The 15,000-nt window shown below is 57.3% G+C and overlaps 1 protein-coding gene, 1 long non-coding RNA gene and 1 other non-coding gene across 12 annotated transcripts in view, besides 8 other annotated features; 1 reads left to right on the forward strand and 2 right to left on the reverse strand.

The window, feature by feature from the left end:
• Positions 1–92: part of a silencer, noted in NCBI's record as "silent region_19624", that runs on past the window's edge. NCBI's record gives its function as "represses an Ori minimal core promoter by ATAC-STARR-seq in GM12878 lymphoblastoid cells {active_cell/tissue: GM12878}" and the evidence as "EXISTENCE:reporter gene assay evidence [ECO:0000049][PMID:35858748]".
• Positions 1–576: part of an enhancer, noted in NCBI's record as "H3K27ac-H3K4me1 hESC enhancer chr8:144911557-144912256 (GRCh37/hg19 assembly coordinates)", that runs on past the window's edge. NCBI's record gives its function as "activates a minimal SCP1, AML or CMV promoter by ChIP-STARR-seq in primed H9 embryonic stem cells {active_cell/tissue: H9 hESC(primed)}" and the evidence as "EXISTENCE:reporter gene assay evidence [ECO:0000049][PMID:30033119]".
• Positions 1–1,096: part of a biological region, named in NCBI's record as "MED14-independent group 3 enhancer GRCh37_chr8:144911577-144912776", that runs on past the window's edge.
• Positions 1–1,096: part of an enhancer, noted in NCBI's record as "MED14-independent group 3 enhancer chr8:144911577-144912776 (GRCh37/hg19 assembly coordinates)", that runs on past the window's edge. NCBI's record gives its function as "activates an origin of replication core promoter dependent on BRD2, BRD4, P300/CBP and CDK7 cofactors, and independent of MED14, by STARR-seq in HCT116 cells {active_cell/tissue: HCT116}" and the evidence as "EXISTENCE:reporter gene assay evidence [ECO:0000049][PMID:35650434]".
• The window catches only part of LOC107986985 (uncharacterized), a 2,652-nt gene extending 231 nt beyond the window's left edge, over positions 1–2,421 (forward strand). Inside the window, exons 2-3 of one of the 2 annotated variants that reach the window (XR_001746138.2) lie at positions 336–528; positions 1,199–2,421. This is a non-coding gene — a long non-coding RNA (uncharacterized LOC107986985). Of the gene's footprint in view, positions 1–33; positions 529–1,198 lie in introns of those variants that run through there. The other variant, XR_007061140.1, reaches the window with a different exon arrangement.
• On the reverse strand, positions 266–11,463 carry NRBP2 (nuclear receptor binding protein 2). 9 transcript variants are annotated; one of them, XR_001745529.2, is made up of 19 exons: positions 11,196–11,463; positions 10,597–10,719; positions 10,419–10,520; positions 10,226–10,315; positions 9,999–10,039; positions 9,804–9,898; positions 9,662–9,685; positions 9,507–9,590; positions 9,373–9,428; positions 9,170–9,265; positions 8,113–8,245; positions 7,897–7,999; positions 7,739–7,789; positions 7,529–7,664; positions 6,617–6,670; positions 6,310–6,520; positions 6,035–6,220; positions 1,152–1,224; positions 266–348 (listed from the first exon to the last, which is right to left on the reverse strand). XR_001745529.2 is itself a non-coding variant. In XM_017013382.2 (18 exons), the coding sequence occupies exons 1-18, from the start codon at positions 11,322–11,324 to the stop codon at positions 1,214–1,216; spliced, it is 1,725 nt and encodes a 574-aa protein (XP_016868871.1). In that variant the 5' UTR covers positions 11,325–11,463; the 3' UTR covers positions 522–1,213. The 9 variants fall into 9 exon arrangements, 7 of the variants coding, with proteins under 7 accessions (XP_016868871.1, XP_016868867.1, XP_016868868.1 ...); XR_001745528.2 differs by lacking the exon at positions 266–348 and adding an exon at positions 504–592; XM_017013382.2 differs by lacking the exon at positions 266–348 and having other exon boundaries at positions 522–1,224.
• Positions 7,311–8,038: an enhancer, noted in NCBI's record as "H3K4me1 hESC enhancer chr8:144918993-144919720 (GRCh37/hg19 assembly coordinates)". NCBI's record gives its function as "activates a minimal SCP1, AML or CMV promoter by ChIP-STARR-seq in naive H9 embryonic stem cells {active_cell/tissue: H9 hESC(naive)}" and the evidence as "EXISTENCE:reporter gene assay evidence [ECO:0000049][PMID:30033119]".
• On the reverse strand, positions 8,246–8,306 carry MIR6845 (microRNA 6845). Its single transcript, NR_106904.1, has one exon. It is a non-coding gene; the product is annotated as a microRNA 6845 (primary transcript).
• Positions 11,350–12,080: an enhancer, noted in NCBI's record as "H3K27ac-H3K4me1 hESC enhancer chr8:144923032-144923762 (GRCh37/hg19 assembly coordinates)". NCBI's record gives its function as "activates a minimal SCP1, AML or CMV promoter by ChIP-STARR-seq in primed H9 embryonic stem cells {active_cell/tissue: H9 hESC(primed)}" and the evidence as "EXISTENCE:reporter gene assay evidence [ECO:0000049][PMID:30033119]".
• Positions 11,365–11,924: a silencer, noted in NCBI's record as "silent region_19625". NCBI's record gives its function as "represses an Ori minimal core promoter by ATAC-STARR-seq in GM12878 lymphoblastoid cells {active_cell/tissue: GM12878}" and the evidence as "EXISTENCE:reporter gene assay evidence [ECO:0000049][PMID:35858748]".
• Positions 12,081–12,810: an enhancer, noted in NCBI's record as "H3K4me1 hESC enhancer chr8:144923763-144924492 (GRCh37/hg19 assembly coordinates)". NCBI's record gives its function as "activates a minimal SCP1, AML or CMV promoter by ChIP-STARR-seq in primed H9 embryonic stem cells {active_cell/tissue: H9 hESC(primed)}" and the evidence as "EXISTENCE:reporter gene assay evidence [ECO:0000049][PMID:30033119]".

Here is a 15,000-nt window from a genome sequence, read left to right on the forward strand (position 1 = left end):
GCGTCTAGGGGCGTGCGCCGCGGGACTCGAGTCGGGCGTATCTCTCCGCGTGGCCGACGCGGGCGTGCGTAGTACCCTTCGCCGCCCGTCGCCCTTGCGGCCACTGCTACGCTTCTCTTCTCTGCCTTTTTTGGAGAAAACGCTGTCGCGTGCGTCGTCCAGAGGCTCTCCCCCAGGAGGCAGGCGAAAGAGCGGGGCCCTCCTGGGCTGGAGGAGTCTCGGGTGATGAAAGGCCCGCGTGTTTCAGGCTGACGTCGTGAGATGCGTCGTCCCCGCGTCGCGACATCCCTGGGACCGGGAGGCCCCGTTCAATTGGCAGCTTTTTCTCCTTCCAGGGAACCGATGACCCTAGGTTGGCTGACATCAGTCGCTAGACCCGCAGCCCGCAGGCCCCGTTAGTCCCTGAACTGGCTTTCATGGCCCAAGGTGTCTGTCAGTACTGCTGGGAAAGCTGCCTGTCCTGGACATTTGCCATCTGCTGCACCCAGTCCCGAGACCCCAACTCGGTCATCCGAAGAAGCCACATCTGTAAGCTCAGGCACCTTCAGCTGCCTAAGGCCACAAGGCATCCCGGGCAGGCCTCCTTTCAACCCTGGGAACATTTAGAATTTAATACAGACACTTCTACTTAAATAGGGCAGAATATTCCCCGCCTCCCTCCTGAAACCTTCCAAAATTATAGGAAAGGGGTTTTATAAAGACAAACCCTGCAAGGGCAAAGAGCTGGGATATTGCAGAGCTTAAGAAAGGTGGACAGCGAGAGCTACTCCAGCCCACTTGGCTATGGAGGCCAGTGTCTGAGGGTCGTGGGTGAAAGCACAGCTACAGAAAGGAAACCCCAGACCTCTGTCCCTACCCACCGGGGCTGGCAGGCACTGCAGTGTCTGAGACGTGAGCTCCAGGAGAGGAGCTCTGAGGCCCTGCTCAAGCAAGGCCCTGTCTGAAAGCCTGGGAGTAAGTGAGACTCTGGGTCCTACCCCTGCCTCCACCCCTGGGCTGGGTCTGACCACCCGCATGCCATCAGGCTTCTCAGAGAAGAGGGCTCCTCTCTGCAGCAGCTCCTAGCTCAAAAGAAAAGACTGGCAGGGCACCTAGGGGTAGAGTGTTGCCCAGTAGAATGGCCCAGCCAGATCCCTGGCCTCGAAGCTCACCAGGTCATAAGCCCCAGCCACTAAAAGCATCTCACTCTTCAATGCAGCTGGACAGCCCAGGATCACCAGACACCTGAGAAAGAAGAAAAGGGACTCAGAAGAAACAGAGACGATAAAGGAAGCCGAAGAAAAATGAAAACTAAAATGCCATTCTCAGTCAATAAAAAGGAACTGGGGGCTATAGAGAAAGAAACCTCGGGATGAGAAAGAGCTCTTAGAAATAAAACATGAGGGGAAAGTGAGCAATTCAATAGGCTTTTAAGATGAAGTCTTCCAGAATGTATAATGACAGAACCAGATAGCTGGAAAACAGAATAGCAGTAACACAGGTGGGTGCTCTTAGGGCTAGCCTGGCACACAAGGCCTCCACAATGGAGGGGGTGGATGGGAGGTGGGGGGCTGGTCTGCCACCACCACCAGGGGAAGCCACAGGCACCACCCTCTGGGGACAGCTTCCCTTGGCAATAATGTGCACGCAGGATGCATGGTGCCCAGGACTGTTCTTACACACATTCATTCATGGGATCCTCACAACCCAGTGCTATGCAATGGATACAGCTGTTACCCCATTTTTACTGATGGGCAACATCACAAGGCAGGGAGCAGCAGTAGAATGGCTCCAGAGCCTGTGTTCTTGCCACCACCATGACTGCATCTCAAAAGAGAAGTCCAGGTCAGGCACAGTGGCTCATGCCTGCCTTCCCAGCACTTCAGGAGGCTGAGGCAGGAGTATCACTTGGGCCCAGGGGTTCAAGACCAGCTTGGGCAATATAGTGAGGCCACGTCTCTACAAAAAGTAATTTTAAAAAACCAGCTGGGCATGGTGGCACACGCCTGTAGTCCTAGCTACTAGAGAGGCTAAGGTGGGAGGATTGCTGGAGCCCAGAAGGTGGAGGTTGCAGTGCCCTGTGATCACACCACTGCACTCCAGCCTGGGTGACAGAGCCAGACCCTGTCTCAAAAAAACAACAAAAACTCAACAGAAGTCCAACATCTAAATAAATTGTCCAGAAAATAAGGAAATGAGAGAAATCAGCAGAGATAAATCAAGAAAATTTCCTAGAACCAAACAGTCATGTTTTCTGAACAATGGGTGAAAGGGAAGTTGTATATCAAGACACATCATTGAGAATTACCCAAGTAATGGGGCAAAGAAAAAGAAGAGATCATAGGTAAAGAGTCAGAATTCAGGAAGGCACAAGAGTTCTTGGAACTAGAAGAAAATGACACAATACCCTTGAAATCCTGGGAATAAATGATTTTCAACCAAGCCAAGCTTTTTGTAGCTAGTCGCACTGTTAAGCATATGTGAGGTTAGCATAAAGACTGTGGGGAAAAGCAAGAGAGATCAGATTGTTACTGTGTCTGTGTAGAAAGTAGTAGACATAGGAGACTCCATTTTGTTTTGTACTAAGGAAAATTCTTCTGCCTTGAGACTCTGTTAATCTATGACCTTACCCCCAACCCCGTGCTCTCTGAAACATGTGCTGTGTCAACTCAGAGTTGAATGGATTAAGGGCGGTGCAAGATGTGCTTTGTTAAACAGATGCTTGAAGGCAGCATGCTCCTTAAGAGTCATCACCACTCCCTAATCTCAAGTACCCAGGGACACAAAAACTGCGGAAGGCCGCAGGGACCTCTGCCTAGGAAAGCCAGGTATTGTCCAAGGTTTCTCCCCATGTGATAGTCTGAAATATGGCCTCGTGGGATGGGAAAGACCTGACCGTCCCCCAGCCCGACACCCGTAAAGGGTCTGTGCTGAGGAGGATTAGTAAAAGAGGAAGGAATGCCTCTTGCAGTTGAGACAAGAGGAAGGCATCTGTCTCCTGCCCGTCCCTGGGCAATGGAATGTCTCCATATAAAACCTGATTGCATGCTCCATCTACTGAGATAGGGAAAAACCGCCTTAGGGCTGGAGGTGGGACCTGCGGGCAGCAATACTGCTTTGTAAAGCATTGAGATGTTTATGTGTATGCATATCTAAAAGCACAGCACTTAATCGTTTACATTGTCTATGATGCAAAGACCTTTGTTCACGTGTTTGTCTGCTGACCCTCTCCCCACTATTGTCTTGTGACCCTGACACATCCCCCTCTTCGAGAAACACCCACAAATGATCAATAAATACTAAGGGAACTCAGAGGCTGGCGGGATCCTCCATATGCTGAACGCTGGTTCCCCGGGTCCCCTTATTTCTTTCTCTATACTTTTGTCTCTGTGTCTTTTTCTTTCCTAAGTCTCTTGTTCCACCTTACGAGAAACACCCACAGGTGTGGAGGGGCAACCCACCCCTACAAAGACAAACAGGTAAAGACTCCACAACTTCCTATGCACCCTCTCAGGAAACCTGGAGGATGGTCCTTCTCAAACAGGGCAAATGAAGGAAGAGGAAAGCAGTACAGGACACTGGTGAAGAGTTAACCCATGCTGACCACTGGGCTGTAAGTCCAAGAACAAGTAGCCTGGGCAGGGGGCTTGTATGGTGGGGGCTCCAGGAAAAGAAGAAACTGAGCAGTCAGTTATGTGATGAGTCCTAAGCTGTGACAGGATGCTCATGCTTCTTCAGGAAAGTCTAAAGATGAATCAATGACAAACACATATAGAAAACTAGGCAAACCAAAAAAAAGGCAATTATTAACTCCAGGGAAAACAAAAAGTTGTGCAAGAAATGCCATCCTAGAACACCGTGTTCTCTCCTGAGACGTGTGGTAATGAAGCTGTAATAACACCCATGCAGCTATGATGCCCGTAACACTGGAATGATGCCGCCAGGAGACTGAGGCAGGTGACCGCCCTCCTCCCAGAGGATGCCAGCCAGGGACATCTAATGTAGAAAAACGAATAAACAGGACTAAAAGCATGCTCATGGTTTTGAAAAACATGGATTTCAAATGCCTGAAGAAACAGTTAAGAGAGTTGAATTTGGAGAGGATCAGAGTAGGAGCCTGCATTTATTATTTATTATTGGCCTCAAAAAAAAAACTATTCTACTTTAAAAACAATACATATATAATTCTGAAAAGATAAAATTTAAAAGGAAAAATTCAACAGAGACATGATTAAGTGCAGCAATGGTGGTATTGATGCTTTTAAGTTCAGTTTAATCAGTAGTACAATGTTATGTATTTGCCACTGAAACCATTTAGAACCATGCATAATCAGACAGTTTAGCATGAGGGTTTCCATCTAGGATATGGAAATTACTTTAGATTGCTAATTTTGAGTTGGAAGGCGTGAGAATTTGAATAATTTTGTAAATAGTATTGGAATATTTAAGATAACTGAGATTCACGATTTTGTACCTTTAATTTATTTGATATGCGTTAGTAAGTCTTGCTTTGGTTTTTGGCTTTTGGTTGGAGTGCTGTGGTCAGCAGAATGCCACCCTTCCCCAACAAAAGAGGTTCATTCCTTAATCCCTGGAACCAGTGAATGTTAGTTTACATGGCAAAATGTGTCCTGCAGATGTGTTTAATATTAAAAACCTTGAGGAGGGAGATTATCATGTATTATCTGGCTGGGCCCAACCTAATCTCATGAGTCCTTAGGGACAACCTTTCCTGTCTGCAGGGAACCAGAGAAATGGTTCGTGACACAGACTGAACCTGCTAGCTCTGAAGATGGAGGAGGGGGCCAAGAGCCAAGGAATGTAGGCAGCCTCTACAAGCTGGAAGTGGCCTTAGTTTACAGTCAGCAAGAAAGTGGGGACCTTGGCCCTGCCACCGAAAGGATGTGGATTCTGCCAGCAGCCTGAAGGAGCAGGAGACAGAGTCTCCCCTAGAACCTCCAGGAAGGAAGGCAGCCTGCCAGCCTTGATTCTAGTCCAGTGAGACCCATAGTCAGACTTCCAGCCTACAGAATTGCAATAAATTTGTGTTAAGTCACTAAGTTTGTGGTAAATTTTACAGCGGCAGTATAAAACTAATACAGTGGTGTGCCTTCCTGGTTGACATTTGAAATGCGTTTAGAAAGGCATGAATGCGCTAATGTATACATACAGTTTAAAATGCTTAAGGCCATTTCACTAAGTTTGGAATTGGAGGAGAGGCAAGCCAAGAATCAAGAGGCCAGGAAGGCAGGGGTAGAATCCATGAGGGCATAGAAATCTCTAAGACTGAGCCAGGAGTGGAGTGGGAGAGAGGCAGGGAGCCAGGAGCTGACATCCTCAGAGGCCCAGGGAGCAGCTGCCCCAGGGAGGAGGTGCGGGAGGTAACATGGAGGGGCTGTGAGTCTGAGGAGCAGGGAGGATGTGGGGTCCCTGACGCCTCCAGGCCAGGGAATGCATGAGAGAAAAAGCCCATTGGAGGGGCTGCAGTGGCCAGAGGAGATCTGCAGAGGGGCTGCAAGTTCTGGTCTCAGGGTGGGTAAAGGGTCAAAGAGGTGGCTCTAGGGCAGAGCTGTGTGGGACCAGGGGCTTTGCTGACAACAGCCTCAACTCCAGACCTCTCTGTGGTCTGTTTCTCCTGCCAGGTCCCTGTTGTGCCCAGTGCCATGCCTGACACCTGCAGGTGTGTCACCGCTGGCTTGCTGTGCAGGCTCCTTGTGTGGGTCTATGGTGCCAGCAGGGGATGGCTGCTCTCCCAGACCCCATGGAGCAGTTCCCTGGGCAGAGGTCTGTCCAGGGCTGACCCTCACCCCCAAGCCCCAGAGCTGGGGTTCCCTACAGGGCAGCCTCCTGCATGCTGAGGAGGCAGTGGCCCCGGCCAGGCAGCCTGGGTAGGAACTCAGGGCGGAGAATGGAGGATATGGGAAGGGGTTCTGGGGGCAACCCTGATCCTAAGGACCTGGGAGGCCTAACGGCTCCCCCACACCCACCCCCCAACCCCTCGGCGCCCAAGGCAGGGTCAGCCCCACTCTCAGGAGACGGGGGGTTCCTTCACTACCGGGGCCTTTGTGCTCCCAGGCGCATGGAGGAGGGCAGCCCCACGGTGCTGGAGTCTCCCCAACATGGCCTGCCCAGGCAGCACCCCGGCATGGTCCCCTGGGGCTGGGGCTCCGGGTCAGGCCTGGGTCCCACGGTACTTGAGGAAGGTGCTCTCCAGGAAGGCGGCCAGCTTCATCCGGTCGTCCTGCGGAAGGAGGGAGGCATGGGGGACGGAGGGGCGCGGCCTGCCCCGTGCGCCCCCTCCGCCAGGCCGCGCCGCACCGCCCAGCGCACCTCGTGGAGGAAGCCATAGTGCACGAGCTCCGAGGCGAGGTCCTGGGCGCTGTCCGCTGAGGCAATGGCGTAAGGCGAGGCATGAGGCCGCTGCCCACCCGCCGCCTGGGGTCACCGCCCGCCGCCCAAGTCCCCTGCCCAGCCTACTTGGGAGCAGGTCGTAGGTCAGCTGCCGGTGCAGCCGGTCTTCCAGCACCAGAAGCAGAGTGAGCTGGGGAGGCGGCGGGGCGTGGTCGGCTGGGGGTTCAGGGCTCCGCCACGCTCCCGCCTTCCCCACGGCAGCGCCGCCCTCCCAGGCCCCGCTCACATGCCAGCGCGCCTTGTCCTCGCTTCTCTCCAGGTTGCACTGCATCTGGATGACCTGCAGCGGGGGAAGGCTGGGACTCACAAACCCAGCAGCAAGACCACATGCCGCGGCCCCAAAGGGGCCGGGAAGGGACAGCAAAGACTGGAAAGGGGGGAATCTCTAAGAGGAGCCCATCTCACTGCTAGTGGCTTGGCAAGCTAAGGAAAGCTTCGAGAAGAGTCGACATTAGGGGCTGGGTACTGAAGGCTGAATAGGAGCTTTCACCGCGGAGAGAACAACTTGAACAAAGAGGGAACTGTGGGCGTGGGGAAAGGGAGGTTGGGCGGGACAGGACCGCGCCGAAGTGCACGGTGCCTGCGGGATCAGGCCTCCCAGAGCCTGGGTGTCAGCTGAGGACTCCCATGATCTCTGCTGGCAGCCAGGAGCAGGCAGTTTGCCTGTTAGGACATGAATTCTGGCTGCACTGCACCGAGAGAGGCCCCTGGCCAGGAGGGGGTGCTGCAGGAAAAGTCTGGGGAGACACCAGGACATAGATGTCCGGGAATCAGCACCAGGTGGGGGATGGGAGGGGTGGGGGGGGTGGGAGGGGTGCGGGGGTGGGGGAAGATTGCTGGCAGGGTGGAAGAGCCCGGGTGAGTTCTGGAGGAAGGATGCTTGGAGTAGGTTCAGGGCAGGCAGCAGGATGCAGGGGAAGGATCTGAGGGGACAGGGAGCCTCCCGGAAAAGGAGAGTGCCCAGCCTGTCCTATAACCCCCATGACCCCCACAAGGGGGTCAGCCTGGATCTGGTCTCTGGCAGCCAGGAGGAGAGCTGGGCTGTGGGGATGCAGGCCCTAAGAGAAGGAGGGGCACCTCTTATCTGGCTGTTAGAAGGTCTGAGGGATGGCACTGAGCAGCAGGAGAGGGGACTCACCTTTCTGGTCTCAGAGTCAAAGGGCTCTGGCGTCGGGGTCTTGGCCTTTTGGACCTCCTCCGGGGGTGGGGCCAGCACACGGGGCAGCCCCAGGGGTCGAGTGGCTGCAAAGTTCATCAGTGGGTAGATTCCATTCCTGGGGACACAACAGGGTGGCTGGGGGTTCAGGCCTGACAGCTGCCTGGCCCCCAACCTTACATCAGTTCTCACCTGACATCCTCCAGGAATTTGTCCAGCTCCATGAAGGAGACTTCCGAGTACCTGGCATGGAAGTGGGAGGCACATGAGGGGCTGGCCGGGGCGAGGGGAGGGGAGGTGCGGGGAGGGGAGGTGTGGGGAGGGGAGGCTTCTGGGTGCTGACTGCTCACCGCCACTGCAGCGGGGGCCTGCGGGGCCGGGGAAGCTCCGCCAAGACCGCGTGCAGGTCCATGGCCTTGGTCTTCTCCTCCACCACATTCTCAGGCATGAGGTCTGCGGCCACAAGAGCATCAAGGCGGTGTGCTCAGGCCGTGGGTCCTGCAGGGCCCCTTCCACGTCCCAACCTCCACCTCCCCAGCCACCCCCCGGGCCGGCCTGCTGCTCACACTGGTGCTGGATGAAGCAGTGGGCTGCCAGGAGCTTCAGCGAGTGCACCTCGAAGAGCACGCGGTGGAAGAGGAGGCTGTGGGCAGAGGGCCGGCGGGCAGGGTCCCGGGCCAGGCAGCAAAGGATGAACTCCTGGGGCACAGGGAGGAGAGGCTGGTGGTGTGCAAGGGCTCTCTGCTCTGGCCCCGCAGTTCGAGGAGAGGTGGCCCCTGAGTTCCCCATGTCCCTCCTCAGGGACACACAGGACATGCAGGGATGCCCATAGGGAGGAGTCCCAGCAGCAGCAGCCAGGCCAGGACCTGGTCCTCTGAGCTTGAGGACAGCTGGGTTCTGGGATTGGAGCACCATGCTCTGCTTCCCTCGACCCCCAAAAAATCGTGGGGAGAAGCCATGATCCTAAAGTCACACCTGCAAGCCTCCTACCCATGGCCTTTTGATCGGCTCAGCTCGGGCCCAACACTGGAGACGACCTTGATGGGTCCCCACTCTGTCCACATCCGTGCCCAGCCCGGCTCCAGCTCGCCACCAGCCCCGACCAGGCACCCCCATCTCCTGAGGCCATGGAGTTAAGTCTAGACTCCGAGCAGAGGGGGCTGTGGATGCAGCTTCCATCCCATACCTCTTTTTGCCTGCTTGGCACCCACCATGTCCCCCCACAAGCTGGAGCCTCATCACCTCCTGGAAGCTTAAAGTCAAGGACTTGGAGTGAAGCAGACCCAGGTGCAGATGTTGGCTCCACCACTCACTCTAAAGCCTTGGGCAAAGGACTCATCTCCTCTGAACCTTGGTTTCTTTATAAAACGGGCATGGTGATGGCAGCCACAGAGGGAGGGTCTCTCTTGCCTTCTTGTCCTTAGAATGTGCTGACCCCTTAGGGCCTTCAGGCCTGGAACCAGTATGTGCTCCCACTGAGGTCCTCTTTGGGAGGGGTGCAGTCAGCTGGTATACCCCTCAACTGCACAAACTGTGATGTTCTCCCAGGTCTGCCTGGAGCACCTTGCTAGCCCTAGCTGAGCACGGTGAGCCAGCTGGGGAGGGGCAGGGCAAGCTGCTTACCCGCATGTTGGGGTCACTCAGCGAGTGCCTGGCGCGAGCAATGGCCTCCTCTGTGACCCGGGTGTCCCCATTGGTCTGGATTTCCAGTACAGCCATCTGGGGCACAGAGCCAGGTCAGGCATGGGGAAGGGACCACACAGGTGAGCCAGGCAGGGCACAGTTAGGAGGAGGGCAGAGCACAAGGTGGAGGGCGGGGGCAGTACCTCCAGCGCACACATCCCAAAGGAGAAGATGTCCACAGCGGTCCCATCGGCCACCTCTGAACAGAAGAGAGCACAGGACACGTAGGAGAGAAGCGCAGGGTAGGCACGGGGCACCCGGACCCAGCACCACTCACCTCCATACTCTGGGGGGAAGAAGTGCAGGTTCCGAAGTTCCTCTCGCTCAGCGCGGATGGGGCTTCGGAGATCATCTGGAAGTGCTGTGGGAGGGCGCAGAGCTGAGCGGGCGGGGACCTCTCCAGGACCCCGTCCCCCCAAAGTCCGCACTTACCATTGGAGAAGATTCGGTGCCACACTGCCAAGGGGCGGGAGAAAGAGTGGAGTTAGCTGCTGGGGCATCAGAACTCCTCTGCCCTTGGCTCCAGGCACCTTCCCCTGCCCCGTTCCCCCACCCAGCCCTGCCCCGCCAGCACCGGAGCCGATCTTGATGAGGCCGTTGTGCTGAATGAAGATGGTGTCGCTGGTCAGGTTCCCGTGGATGATTGGGGGGCTGCAGGCGTGCAGGAAGCTGCAGACGTTGGGGAGGGGAGAGTAGGAGGAGCCGGTCAGGAGGCTCTGGAGAGATGGGGGCTCGGTGGCGCCGCGCCCAGGCCAGCCCAGGCCCTCACCTGAGCGCAGACAGGATCTGCGTGCACCAGCGCTTCCAGGCCTGGCGGCGGACGCACGACTCCGTCGGTCGGGTGGGCGCAGGAGAGGCGGCTGGGCCTGCGGAGCCCGCCCCGCATCCTCGCCCAGCCCCTGTCCGAGGCCGCCGGGCACCCCCTCACCATCCCAGTCCCCGAGGCTGCCCCAACCCCGTCCTGTCCCCGTGGCTGCCCCAGCCCGCTCCCCATACCCGGGCGTTCATGGCCTTGTGGTTCTTCTTGGTCTTTTTGAGGAATTGCTTGAGGCTGCCTGATGACACGTACTCTGTGATGAAGATGACCTGCACGGTGCGAGCTCAGGATTTCCACCAGCTGCGGGTTCGTCCCCATGCCCGCCCCACCTAGCTGTGGTCTCTGCCTGCCCGGGGCCTTGCCCGTGCTCACCCTCGCGCAGGCCTCAGAGGTATCCAGCCAGTACTTGTGCAACTTCACGATGTTCGGGTGGTCCACCAGCACCAGCTGCTCGAACACGGTCTGGATCTTCTCCTGGGGAGGGAGGGTGGTCGCTGGGTGGTCAGCAGGTGGTCACCCAAGCAGGATGAGGAGGGGGCAGCGGTCTCACCTCGTGCGCCGCGAAGGCCTTCCTGTCTCCGAAGTGGAGCTCGTTCCACACCACCTCTACCCCCTCCTCCGTGTCCATGGCTAGGAAGGTGCTCTGAAGCCCTGGCATGTTCCCTTGGTTTACCTGGGGGTGAATAAAGGGTTATGTGTGCCCTGGTGTGTGTCAGGGTTGTGGGTGAGGATTTGGTCCCTGTCCACACCTTTCCAGTGGGCCCAAGCGTGGGCTGCAGGCCCTGAGCCACTCTGCGGGAAGGTGGGGCTTGGAGGGTAGCTGCCCCCAGGAGCCAAGGGCTCCTATCCAAGGGCTGGGCTAAGGGGATTTGGAGCAGGTTTCAGGGGGTCGAGGGGGATCCCCAGGAAGCTAGCGGCTGAGTCCAGAGGCATGGGGAGGTGGTCCTGGGAGGAGACTGGCCCTCAGGGAGTCCCAGGGCGAGCGCCAGGCCAAAGGGGTCCAGGGGTGGCTGATTCGCGGGCCGCGAGGGGCCGCGGAGAGGTTTCCAGCCGCCGCGCTCTCCCAGCGCCCCCACGCCCCGCGCAGCCTCCAGGCCCCTCCCGCTCTGGGAGGGCGGTGTCACCCCGTGCCCCAACCCCCGCGCCCACCTGCTCCCGTCGCTTTTGCCAGCGACCACACGGGCTTTCCTCCAGGATGTCGCTCTCGTCCTCGCTCTCGTCCTCCCGCTCCCGCTCCCGTTCCCGGGCCCGCCTCGGCGCCGGCTCCGGGGCCGCCATGGTTCGGCCAGCCCAGGCCACCGCCCTCTGCGCGATCCGCCGCCGGCGCAGCCTCTCCCGGCCCGCCCTGGCCTCGCGCCCAGCAGCCCAGCCTAGAGCCGCCGCGGCAGCCTAGAGCCCCAGCCCCGGCTCTGGGAATTGGGAGGCGCGGGCGCGCGGCGGACGGGCGGGGCCCGGGGGCGGAGCCGGCGCGCACCTCCCGAGCCGCCTGTGCCTGCCGGAGCCAGAGCAGAGCTTCCCCGAGAGCTGCCGAGCCCGGGCCGCGCCCAGGCCCCGCCCCCCCGGAGGCCCCGCCCCGCGAAGCCCCGCCCCAGTCCCTGTTTCCTCCTCGTCTCCCAGGCCTGCTCCGCGAAGCCCCTCCCCAGGCCCTGTCCCCTCCTCGTCCTCCAAGCCTCCTTCGCGAAGCCCCGCCCCAGGACCCGCCCCACCCCCGCGAATCCCCGCCCCGTTTTAGTCCCCGCCCCCGCCCGTTCCCAGGGTCCTCCGCGAAGCCCCACCCCAGGCCCCGCCTCACCTCCTCGAAGCCCCGCCCCTATGAGGCCCCGCCCCGCGCAGAGGAACCGCCCCCAAATCCCCGCCCCCTCGGAGGCCCCGCCCTGCGGACACCTGGAGCCCGGAGCGCCCACTTCTCTCGCGGTTGCTCCCCTAGGATCTGGGGGAAGACCCGGGGCATCTGGGGGCCCCCAAGCCCACGGCACCCTCCAGCTGCAGAAGACCCCGCGGGCTCGAAAGCGGGACCCGCTCTCCTGGCCACGCACTCATTCCCCGGCCGACCCCCAAGGGACAGGTCGAAGGGGCACCGAGGGCGGGGGAAAGGCCCACCAGCAGGCTGACCCAGGCTGACTTTGATCGGTGACCACGAATCTCTCCCTGGCCCGCCCACCAGTGCCTCCTCCCGCCCACAAGCCCATCTTCTCACTTTCCAGGATGGCGATTTTCTCTTTTCTCCTCAAACGCGCATTTCCTTTCCGCGGCTGGCTCCCATGGGACAGTGGAACCATGAGGGGGGAGCCCACCCGGCTCACACGACCTCTCCCTCCGGAGGCCGCTCTAAGCACACCCTCCAGCCACGCCGACCACCGGGGCTGTCCCCGATTCTCACCTAAAACCCCCTTCAGCCCACAGCCCCCACGGCCTTCCTGTGGTCTCCTCCCTCCTTCACGGCGGGTCCTCATCCTTTACCTTCTCTCTCTGGAGCCCAAATTGGAACTCCGCTCCTCCCCTCCGCGCAGCTCCATGCACTGGCCCTTTGGGACGCCTCTTTCTTTCTTTGGCAGAGGTGCATCTGGCCCTGCTGCGTCCCCTGTGGTCTCTCTTTTCTGACCAGCCTTGGTCACCAGGCACCTTGTGTGTGGTTTCCACCAATGCCAGGTGATCCTGCTGAGGCCCTCTGCAGTAAAGGTTTGGGGTGTTCAAATCCTCCACCCTGAAACTGGCCCTGACCAGCTCCTGGGAGACACCCTCTAAGCCCTTGGAATGTTCTGCCTGATTTGAATGTCTGTGTTTACCTCGGCCACACCAGATTCTATGCTAAGCTTGTCCAACCCGCAGCCCAGAGGGTGCATTCGGCCAAGGACAGCTTTGAATATGGCCCAACACAAATTCATAAACTTTCTTATTGAGATTTTTTTTAAAGCTCATCAGCTGTTGTTAGTGTTAAGTGTATTTTATTTAAGGGTATTGCCCAGGACAATTCTTCCAATGTGTGCCAGGAAAGCCCACAGATTGGACACCCCTGGTCTGTGCTAACAATATGGTCTACGGGGGGACCTTGGGCCATGTGGCATCAGCCTGACCTCTGCAGGGGCTGGAGGCCAAAGTCAGCCACCTGGGAGGTCAGCCATGCCTGTGTGACCAACCCAATAAAAACCCTGGACACTGAGGTACGGAGGGCTTCCCTGGCTGCTGACATGCTGTGCTCATTGTCACACCTCAGTGCTGGGAGGTTGAGCACTGTCCCCATGCCTGCAGTGGGTGGGGACACCTGCAGACCCGTGCTGGTCTGTCCTGGGTTCTGTTCTGTGAGTCCTTGCCACTGCTGATTTTAACGCATCCATTGCTGTAATAAATAGTACCCTTTCCGAGTTCTGTGAGTCCTTCTAGTGAACCATTGAACTTGAGGGTGGTTTTGGGGAGCCCCCCCAGTGGTCCCTTCTCACTTGGTATGAGGGCCTAAACATGAAGGCCCAGTAATTGGTCCCATTACCCTACCTCACGTCAGCTGCCTTCTTCAGCTGAGCCCACCCCAAGTACACGGCCCTGTGCCATCGGACATGACAGGCACTTCCCCTCAGGGTCTCTGCCCTGGTTATACCTTTGCCCGGAACGCCCTTCCCAAACATCCTCTGAGGTCACTTCCTGAGAGGCCTGTCCTGACCACGAATCCTGACATCACAGTCCCCACACCCTTTCGCCTGCTTGACTTGACTTTTCCCGGAGTATTCACCCCACCTGACTTGCATCTGGGTTTTTCTCATCTCTCTTCTTCACTGTCTGTGTCCCTGTTGCGATTCGAGCTCCCGCAGGGCAGGAGTGTCTGCTCGTTGTCCCTGCTCTTTCTCTGGTGCGAGGACGGTACCCGGCACACAGCAGGCCCTCAGCAAACACTTGTTGAATGGATCTGTGGGTGGGCAGGGGTGCGTTTTGGCGGGTGTGGTCCAGAGAAGCCCCTAAGGAGGTAAGCCTTGAGCAGAAGAATCTCAATGAATTTCCTCCCCTTTCTCCGCCCCCATAACCAGACACACATGTTCTGTGGTAGGTCACATAGTGTCCCCCAAAAGTCTACATCCTGATCCCCAGTACCTAGGAGCACAGCCTTATTTGAAAAAAAAAAAATGGTCTTTGCAGATGTAAATAAGTTTAGGATCTTGAGATGCTGGGGTGGGCCCTAAATCCAATGTTTGATGTCCTTATCAGAGAAAGAAAAGGGATACTTGGGGTGCAGAGAAATAAGGTAGACAGTCACATGAACATGGAGGCCAGTGTTGGAGGGATGTACCCACAGGTCAAGGCGTGCCTGGGACTCGAGGACACGAGCTGTTCCAGTATAATAAAATATATAAAATAAGAATAGTTGTACTGATATAGATCTTAGATATGATTATATATGAATATCATTAATCATTAGTTTGTAGCAATTACTCTTTATTCCAATATTATAATAATCCTCACTCTATAATCATAGCCTAGGAAAAACCAGGCCATACAGAGATAGGAGCTAAGGGGACATAGTGAGGAGTAACCAGAAGACAAGAGTGCGAGCCCTCTGTTATGCCCAGACAGGGCCACCAGAGGGCTCCTTGGTCTAGCGGTAACGCCAGCGTCTGGGAAGATGCCTGTTGCCAAGTGGACCTTGGTCTAGCGGTAGGCGCAGTGTCAAGGAAAAACACCTGCTACTTAGCAGACCGGGAAAGGGAGTCTCCCTTGCCCCGGTGGAGTTTAAAGAAGACTCTACTCCTCCACCTCTTGTGGAGGGCCTGACATTAGTCAGGCTCGCCTGCAGTTATCCGGAGGCCTAACCGTCTCCCTGTGATGCTGTGCTTCAGCGGTCACACTCCTAGTCCGCCTTCATGTTCCATCCTGTACACCTGGCTCTGCCTTCTAGATAGCAGTAGCAAATTAGTGAAAGTACTAAAAGTCTCTGATATGCAGAAATAATGGCGTAGGCTGTCTTTCT

This window comes from Homo sapiens, chromosome 8 (genome assembly GCF_000001405.40).
Source record: "Homo sapiens chromosome 8, GRCh38.p14 Primary Assembly".
Classification (NCBI taxonomy): Eukaryota; Metazoa; Chordata; class Mammalia; order Primates; family Hominidae; genus Homo; species Homo sapiens.

Bases quoted from the DNA above. Each gene is read 5' to 3' on its own strand.
- NRBP2 (XM_017013378.2), bottom strand. From the start codon at position 11,324: ATGGCGGCCCCGGAGCCGGCGCCGAGGCGGGCCCGGGAACGGGAGCGG. The intron at 9,266-9,372 runs GTACTGCCCCCG...TCTGTGCCCCAG, and splicing joins TTGGGATGTGTGCGCTGGAG to ATGGCTGTACTGGAAATCCA. The intron at 3,976-6,034 runs GTAGTGAAGGAA...TTTCTACATTAG, and splicing joins CTGGGAGCACAAAGGCCCCG to ATGTCCCTGGCTGGCATCCT.